General features: G+C 34.8%; 1 pseudogene; it reads left to right on the top strand.

The window, feature by feature from the left end:
* Window positions 2,549-10,365, top strand: part of SLC9B1P1 (solute carrier family 9 member B1 pseudogene 1) — a 45,306-nt pseudogene continuing 37,489 nt past the window's right edge.

Here is a 10,365-nt window from a genome sequence, read left to right as displayed (position 1 = left end):
CTCTTTCTCTGTCTAGATTATTTAAGATTTTATTTTTGCCTTTGGTAGTCTATAGTTTCTCAACATTTTATCTAAGTATCTATTTTTACTTAATCCTGATTAGAACTCATTTGACTTCCTGTGTCCAAATCAATGAAAACCCTAATCAATTCTGTAAAATTTGAAGTCAGTTTTCTTCTCAAATATTATATCTTCTTCATTCTTTCAATTATGTTTCTAAAACTACCATTAGTTGTGTTTTAGATCTTTTCCATAATCTAAATCTCTCATTTTCCACCTCGTTTTTTTGTGTGTGTGTGCTATGCTCTTAAATAATTTCCTCATATCTACTACTTTGCTGTGTTGTCTCTTCAGCTTTGTCTAAATTGCTATTTGGGTAGTTAGTGGGTTTTTTTTCAGTTGAGTAAATTTTAAAGTTTTTTTCTAGATGTTCTATTTAATTATTTTACAATACTTTCAAGTAATTTCTTCTTCTCATGTTTCCAATTTTTAAAAATTGTCTCTAGTCCCTTTGAAAATACATATTTTATAGTGTCTATCTAGTGGTTCTATTAGCTGAGGTTTTTAGACATGTAATCCCATTCTTTGTTGTATCTGTTAACTTTTGCTCATGGGATATTTCTTCTTATTTTAAGTTCAGATTCACTTTGCTTTACCTTTGAGACTTTATGCAGTCTGGGATCAGGAGTGTCTATTAGAGATTTTTTGAATTAGCATCTACTAAGTGTTCTAGGGATACTTCTATGCAGGGACACTTTTATGGTAGGTTTAGAACTTTGGGATCCCTAACCTGTGCACGTAATGTAATTTGAGCCCTACACATAAGTTGGATGAGGCCAGTTTTACATATGAATTCTCAAAAAAGACTTTGCCACAAAGAGACCAGCTAATACAAACTGCCTTGTCTTCTCAATTTGTCAGTAGGATGACATTTTCTGGTCCGTGTTTTTTATTTTTTTGTTTTTTGTTTTGTTTTGTTTTGTTTTCTTGAGATGGAGTTTTGCTTTTGTTACCCAGGCTGGAGTGAAGTGGCACCATCTCAGCTCACTGCAATGTCTGCCTCCTGGGTTCAAGCAATTCTCGTACCTCAGCCTCCCAAGTAGCTGGGATTACAGGCATGCACCACCAGGCCAGGCTAATTGTCTGTATTTTTAATAGAGACGGCGTTTCACCGTGTTGGTCAGGCTCATCTTGAACTCCTGACCTCAGGTGATCCACCCACCTCGGCCTCCCAAAGTGCTGGGATTACAGGCGCGAGCCACCATGCCCAGCCTGGTCCATTATTTTAGTGACAGTTTAACCCTCCAAGGCTTCCAGTTTTGCAAGATGACAATAATCAGAGGGGAGGAAGAAAGAAACTTTGTTCTAACTTTCTGCCTGGAGTGAGTCAAAATCCTCCTTTTCTACCCTGGCAAATTCTATACAGTCAGAAAAGGGTCATAGCTAAAAAATTCATGTAAGCTGTTTTAAGAATATTAAAAACATTAGCAATTATGATTCATAGCAAATAAAGGTAGCCATTTAATTAGCAAATGGAAATTTACCAAGTTATTTTCTGTCCTTTACAGAAACCTATGGATTCCTCAGTGAGTAGCACCTAGTTGCCAGAAACAAGATGTCTAGTAACTTATATCTACTCATCTTAATCTCCCTCTACCTTCTACACATAATCTAAGATATTTTATATTTATTCCCACAAAATCTAGGTTCATTTCTTCCAGCCAATACCTCCTATAATACATTTATGCCAAATATCAGTTGAATTATCCTTTCAATAAAAAGATTTAGCAGGTTCCTGTTAAAAGATTTGGCACCTTGACACTGTGATCTTCAATAAGGTCGTGAATTCTTATCACAACCAATCATCCTCTTATTTTCCATCCTGATAAAAAAGCTATTTTAAAATATAAAATGAAGTAAATCTCATCATATTGCCATGAAGTTTTTAACTATCATATATTATAAGTTAACATTTTCAAGAGTTCACATATAGGTTTTTTTAATTTATTTTTTATTTTTTTATTGAGAGTGAGTCTCACTCTGTCACCCAGGCTGGAGTGCAGTGGCACAATCTTGGCTCACTGCAACCTCCACCTCCTGGGTTCAAGCAATTCTCCTGACTCAGCCTACCATGTAGCTGGGATTACAGACACGCATCACCACACCTGGCTAAGTTTTGCATTTTTAGTAGAGACGGGATTTCACTGTGTTGGCCAGGCTGGTCTCAAACTCCTGACCTCATGTGATCCAGCTCACCTCAGCCTCCCAAAGTGCTGGGATTAAGGTGTGAGCCACTGCACCTGGCCCACATATAGTTTTTAAATATTTTTAAAGTGAAAACACTTTGTTTAAAACCTAATTCATAAATTGACAGGTTATTTGGAGTATATGTTAAGCAGGTATCTCTTTCACCAAACTAGTAAGCAATGTTGATCTATACCCTGTATCATTTTATAGAACTGGCTATTAGTATATATGATAAAAGAGAATTGATCCTTTTTTTGTATACATCTATGTGTATGTAGATATATAGCTGTACACTTTTTTGTATTTCAGGAGTTACACTGTTTGTGATATGGTGTATGACCTTAGCAATCTTAGGCTCTGAAGCTCTCCCTGGTGGAAATTTATCTGGATTGTTAATTATTTTTTATAGTGCCATTATTGGGGGAAAAATTTTACAACTCTTTAGAATACCTTTAGTGCCTCCACTTCCACCTTTTCTTGGTAAGTATATAATTAGCTCTCTTTTCTTTATTATTGACTATATGCAAATTTTGAACATTTTCTTGTTGAATTAGTTATAATTCAGAAATATTTCAATATAGTATGTTTTATATAGTTTCTTCATATGTGTATTTACTGTGTGTGTGTGTATGTGTACAGCTCCTTTATAGGGGCATTTATTTCTCTCTCTGTCTACATATATACACACACAAGTTTTATCCAAAATTTATTTTAAAAATAAATTTAATATCCTTAGTACATTATTCCTGTTGCTTTATTGTTTAATAGAATCTTTAAAAATTTTAGATTCACGGAGTACATGTGCAGGTTTGGTACATGGATATATTGCACAATGGTGAGATTTGGGCTCTAGTGAACCCATCACCAAACAGTGAATACTATACCCAATAGGTAATTTTTCAACCTTAACCCTCCAACCCTCTCTCCTTTTGGACTCCCCAGTGTCTATTATTTCTATCTTTATGTCCATATGTACCCATTGTTTAGCTCCCACGTATAAGTGAAAACGTGATATTTGAGTTTTCTGTTTCTGAGTTATTTCACTTAGGATAATGGTGTTCAGCTCTATCCATGTTGCTACAAAGAACATGATGCCATTCTTTTTTATGACTGCATAGTATTCCATGGTGTATATGTACCACATTTTCTTTATTTAGTCATTTAAGTTGATTCCATGTCTTTTTATTGTGAATAGTGCCGCAATGAACATGTGTGTGTGTATGTCTTTATGGAAGAATGATTCACATGTTAAACCATCCTTGTATTTCTGGAGTAAAACCCACCTAACTATATTATCTTTTTGATGTACTATAGAATTCATTTTGCTAGTTGAGAATTTTTGCATCTATGTTCATCAGGGATATTGACCAGTTGTGTGTGTGTGTGTGTGTGTGTGTGTGTGTGTGTGTGTGTGTGTGTTTATGGCTTTGCCTGATTTGGGTATAATTGTGATACTAGATTCATAGAATGTGTTAGGAAGGGAGTCCCTCCTTGATTTTTTTGGATTAAGTTTCAGTCACCTTTGACCCTGAACTAGTATTCTAGTGGATTGTACAATGACCCTGAACTAGTGGATTGTACAATGAATAAATGAATTAATATAAATTATTGTAAAATAAAATTTTGTTAAGTATATGATAGCCATACAAATGCAAGACAATAAACAACGTGATATGAAAACTCTCAGCCAGCCTACCATATTTGTGTTTGTTTTTGAACTGCATAGTGGGAGGAGGAGCTCCTTACAATTTTCACTTTGTAAACATTTATCCTTTGATTTTAACATTCACTGCTATAACCACCATCACTCGTGGATTCACCAAAAAATAAGTAAATAATTATCTTATTTGTTTTTATAAAACTTTGTAAAATGTATGTAGAGCTCACATTTATTTCATTGTTTAATACTAGAAGTGTTTTGGATCTTTATTTAGAAGTTTGATGATGTTTTGTGACCAGAAATATACTGTAGGAAATTGACTCTTGTTTATACCATTTAGCCTATGCTAAAATTGGTTTTGTTATATAGCAATTTACTCTAAGTTGCCATTTCCAATCACCTATCGACGATGTTAAGTGAGACCTTACTGTATTCAAATATATCTAAATATTCAGTACAGTGGGCCAGGCATGGTGGCTCATGCCCATAATCCCAGCACTTTGGGAAGCCAAGGCAGGAGGATCACCTGAGCCCAGGAGTTCAAAACCAGCCTGGGCAACATAGCAGACCTTGTTTTTACAAAATATTAAAAATTTTTCTGGGTCTCAGCTACTCAGGAGGCTAAGGCAAGAGGATCACTTGAGCTCAGGAGATTAAGCCTACAGTGAGCCATGTTTGCATCACTGCACTCACCTTGAGCAACAGCATGAGACCCTGTCCCCAAAAATAAATATATATTCAGTACAATGTCATTACAGATAATCTCTACATCTTATCTCTGCTGTCACTTCTGTATCCACAGTTTTCTTGCAGCACCTTCTAAGTATTTATTGAATCATTTTCCTCCTCTCCAAACTTCCTCTTTTGCTCTAGCTTAGGCTATTTGCTTCCAACTTTTGCGTGGACTGTGGTAGAGCCTTCAATTTGGTCTCTGTCTCCAGTTTTATCCATAACTAATTCACCAAGACCCTCATATAAAAATCACAAGACTCATTATGTTACTTCCTGCCTAAAACCTTCCAATGGTGCCTTACTTTGCCAAAGTGGGGGGAGACCTTTCTATGATCTGGCCCACCAAACTAATTCTCCTCCCTCCTTTCCTTGCCCTGTATGTTCCAGCAACACTAAATTACTTGTTGAACCCCATTTTGGTGTATTGTTTCTTATCACCATTCCTTTATTCATGCTGCCTTCTCTACTTGCTTGTAACGTGCCCTTTACCAAAATAATGAGAGACATAGTGCATTAGAAAATAAAGTAAACATTTCTGTTTTCTTTCTCAGAAAAATGAACTGTCATGTATGTTTATTTTCTTCCTTTTAAGGGATGTTAGTGGCTGGTTTTACAATTAGGAATGTTCCATTCATCAGTGAACATATCCATGTTCCTAACGCATGATCTTCAATTTTAAGAAGCATTGCCCTTAACATTATTCTAATACGAGCTGGGTTTGGACTCGATCCACAGGTAGATTTACAATTACAAATCGAGTAAGATTATTTCAAATATTAGAGGATGGTGAGAAAGAAAAAGAAGCAAAAATTTTATTTACCTGTTCCAAGTGGAGTCTGTAAACAAACCTAAGATAAAGAAAAAAAGGCCGGGCATGATGTCTCATGTCTGTAATCTACAAAAATTAGCCGGGTATGGTGGCATTTACCTGGTAATCCCAGCTACTCGGGAGGCTGAGGCAAGAGAATCACTTGAACCTGAGTGACAGAGGTTGCAGTGAACTGAGATAGTGCCACTGCAGTCCAGCCTGGGGGACAGAGTGAGACTCCGTCTCAAAAAACAAAACAAAACAAACAAACAAAGGTTTTATAAGAAAAACCTTATACAATTCTTTTTCTTTTTTTAGGGTGATTAAGGATTTCAGTTATTTTTTATGACGTTTTCTCTACAGGATTATGTTCCTGATTATCTTTGCATTATTGTAAAATCTAATCTTTTAAAGCATTTCTTAAAATATTACATTCTAGGGATCATAAATCCCATCTATAAGAAGATGACTATTCATGAATATGACAGCCACTCAAATAAATGTGGCAAATGTGGTTTAATAGAAATAGCTCAAGAGCATAAATAATTATAGCTAATGAGATTATATTCTCCAGTAGAAAGTATGAACCAAGGAGAAAATTGAAAAGTTCTCCCTTTTAAAATGAATTATGCAGTTTTTAAGTTATTTTCTTTGGCATGTTAGTATTGTATTTATACTTATTAAGTTAATCAAAGAGTTCATATCAAAAAGTTAATGGGAAAACACTAATATGACACTATTATTATACTATGTATTAGGAAAGTTCAGGAAGGTAGCATTAGCTATTTAATCACAGTAAAATTGATCTTTTAATAATTAAAATACAATAATATTTTATAAAAGATGAAATTGTTTATAATCCAACCTATGATGACATATAAAATATAATAGGGTTCAAAGTCCTGTGGGACAATCTGTTGAAATGAGATTTTGTTTAGTGAAAGCTTCTTATGAAAAAAGACTTTATAGTCCAACATTTGTTAAAATAATTTTATTTTTGGCCATTGTAAATGTATCAAATGTGACTGTTTTCTGTTTCAGGCTTTGAGGCATTTGAAGGTGGTTTGTTTCAGAATGGCTTTAGGTCCATGCCTTATGGAGGCAAGTGCAGCTGCTGTTTTTTCCCACTTCATTATGAAATTTCCCTGGCAATGGGCAATTCTATTAGGGTAATTTCTATCTCATTTTTTCTTACGGAAATATTCAATTAAGGATGCTTGGTTAAAACTGTTAAAATATTCAGAATATTGTATAGAAAAGCTCTATTAAAATTCATTTCACAGTGTTAAAATCCTTGGAAAGCAGTTGATTAAAAGCAGAGCATGTCCCAAATTGCACGAAATCTTTTTAACAAACATTCATAGCACCTAAATGTTTATCATCAAGAAAATTCAAGTGATCAATTTATTCCTTTTCATCTGTATTATAACATATCTGAATGTTTTAATCTATCTAATGGCCTCTTCCTCATAGCTATATGTAAATACAGTTGCACATTTCATATATATGTATGTGTATTTATATATATATTTGAGAAACATTTTATATAGACATAGGTGTATAAATATAAACTCTCCCATTTTGAAGAAAGCAAGCAAACAAAAACTCTTGCCGTATATCCAATACCCCATCCATCTTTATCTACCATCCATTTGTCTTATGTTTGAATTCCTCAGAATAAGTCTATAACTACTGTCTCTAGATCCTAACTCCTTTTCATTTCTTAATTCATCAACTTTTGTCTCTGCTTATCCATTCCAATGACATTCATAGCAAAGTTCATCCATTACATAGTTACTATAAAATCCAGTGAATTTTTAAATTAATGTATATGATAAAATAGTCAAATGCACTTTTATTTTAAAAATTAGAACTTATAAATAAAGGAGGAATGACCTTAAACTATGCCTTCAAATCATAATGCCCATAACTCTACCCAAAGTGACAACTCTTAGGAGTTTTTTTCTTCTCCAATTTTTATTTTGGCTCAAGGGGTACATGACCAGGCTTGTTATATGGATAAATTGCATGTCACAGGGGTTTGGTAAGGAGATTATTTTGTCACCCAGGTTGTAAGTATAATACCCAATAGGTAGTTTTTCTATTCTCCCCCTCCTTCCACCCTCCACCCTCAAATTCACCTAGTGACGATTGTTCCCTTCTTTCTGTCCATGTGTACTCAGTGTTTAGCTCCCACTTATAGGTGAGAATATGGGATATTTGGTTTCCTGTTCCTCCGTTAATTCACTTTGTGTATTATTCTATGGTGTATATGTGCAACATTTTCTTTATCCAGTTCACCATTGATGGGCATTTAGGTTGATCTCATGTCTTTTATATTTTTTTCATTAGTTTTTAAGGAACAGGTGGTGTTTGTTTACATGGAAAATATTTTTAGTGGTAATTTCTGAGATTTTGGTGCACCCATCACCAAAGCAGTGTACACTGCACCCAAGGTGTAGTCTTTTATCCCTCACCCTCCTCCTACTCTTCCCCCTAAGTCCCCAAAGTCCATTGTATCATTCTTATGCTTTTGCATCCTCATAGCATAACTCCCACTTATAAGTCAGAACATACAATGTTTGATTTTTTCATTCCTGAATTACTTCACTTAGAATAATGGTGTCCGACTCTTTCCAGGCTGCTGTGAATGCCATTATTTCATTCCTTTTTATAGCTGAGTAGTATTCCCTCTATGGTCTGTGTGTGTATATATATACACACATACACATATATATATATATACATATATACACATATATGTGTGTATGTACACACACACACACACACATATATATATATATATATATATATATATATATATATATATATACACCATATTTTCTCTATGTGTTCATTGATTGATGGGCATTTGAGCTATTTCCATATATTTCACAACTGCAAATTGTGCTGCAGTAAACGTGTGTGCAAGCGTTTTTTTAATATAATGACTTCTTTTCCTCTGGGTAGATACCCAGTTGTGGGATTGCTAGATCAAATTGTAGATCAACTTTTAATTATTTAAGTGGTTTTGTTTGCATTTCCCTGATAATTAGTGATATTGAGGATTTTTTCATGTTTCTTGGCCATTTATATCTTCTTTTGGGAAGTGTCTATTCATGTCCTTAGCACACTTTTTGATAGGATAATTTGGTTTTTTTCTTGCTGATTTGTTTGAGTTCCTTATGGGTTCTGGATATTAGTACTTTGTTGGATGCATAGTTTGTAAAGATTTTCTCCCACTCTATAGGTTGTGTTTTTACTCTGCTGATTATTTCTTTTGCTGTGTAGAAGATTCTTAGTTTAATGAAGTCCCATTTATTTATCTTTGTTTTTGTTGCCTTTGCTTTTGGGTTCTTGGTCATGAAGTCTTTGCCTAAGCAAATGTCTAGAAGGGTAATTCCAATGTTACCTTCTAGAATTTTTACTGTTTTAGGTGTTAGATTTAAGTCTTTGATCCATCTTGAGTTGATTTTTGTATAAGGTGAGAGATGAGGATGCAGTTTCATTCTTCTACATATGGCTTGCCAATTATCCTAGCACCATTTGTTGAATATGGTATCCTTTCCCAACTTTATGTTTTTGGTTCCTTTGTTAAAGATCCGTTGGCTTAAGTATTTGGCTTTATTTCTCAGTTCTCTATTCGGTTCCATTAGTCTATGTGCCTATTTTTATACCAGTATTATGCTGCTTTGGTGACTATAGACTTATAGCATAGCTTGAAGTCAAGCAATGTGATGCATCCACATTTGTTCTTTTTGCTTAGTCTTGCTTTCGTTATGCGGGCTATTTTTGGGCTCCACATGAATTTTAGGATTGCTTTTTCTAGTTCGGGGAAGAATGATGATGTAGATTGCTTTTGGCAGTATGGTCATTTTCACAATATTTTTTCTACCTATCCATGAGCATGTAATGTGTTTCTATTTGTTAGTGTCATCTATGATTTCTTTCTGCAGTGTTTTGTAGTTTCCACTGTAGAGATCTTTCACCTCCTTGGTTAGGTATATTCCTAAATTGGTTTGCTTGGGTTTTTTCTTTGGTATTGTTTGTTCGTTTGGTTTGGTTTTTTTGTAGCTGCTGTAAAAGGGGTTGAGATCTTGATTTAATTCTCAGCTCAGTCACCCTCGGTGTATACCAGTTCTACTGATTTGTGTACATTGATGTTGTATCCTGAAACGTTACTGAATTCATTTATCAGATCTAGGAGCTTTTTGGATGAGTCTTTAGGGTTTTCTCATTATATGATCATATCATCAGGAACAGCAACAGTTTGACTTCCTCTTTGCTGATTTAGATGCCCTTTATTTCTTTCTCTTGTCTGATTGCTCTGGCTAGGACTTCCAGTACTATGTTGAATAGAAGTGGTGAAAGTGGGCATCCTTGTCTTGTTCCAGTTCTCGGGAGAATGCTTTCAACTTTTCCCATTCAGTATAATGTTGGCTGTGGGTTTTTCTTTCTTTCTCTTTCTGTATTTTTTTTTGGGGATGGAGTCTTGCTCTGTTGCCCAGGTTAGAGCGCAATGGCCCAATCTCAGCTCACTGCCACCTCTGCCTCCCAGGTTCAAGCAATTCTCATGCCTCAGCCTTCCAAAGACCTGGGAGTAGCTCCCCAAGCTCGCCAGCATCTATTACTTTTTGACTTTTTATTAATAGCCATTCTGCCTCCTGTGAGGTTGTATTTCATTGCACTTTTGTTTTGCATTTCTCTAAAGATTAGTGATGTTGAATACTTTTCCGTGTACTTGTTGACTATGTGTTTGTCTTCTTTTGAGAAGTGTCTTGTCCTGTCCTTTGCCCATTTAATGGGGTTGTTAGATTTTTGCTTGTTGATTTTTCTAAGTTCTTTTTGTATTCTGGATATTAGACTTTTGTCGAATGCATGGTTTGAAAATATTTTCTTCCATTCCATAGGTTGTTTG

This window comes from Homo sapiens, chromosome Y, assembly GCF_000001405.40.
Source record: "Homo sapiens chromosome Y, GRCh38.p14 Primary Assembly".
NCBI lineage: Eukaryota > Metazoa > Chordata > Mammalia > Primates > Hominidae > Homo > Homo sapiens.
Note: the sequence above shows the minus strand (reverse complement) of the source record. Positions and strands in the feature narration are given on the sequence as shown.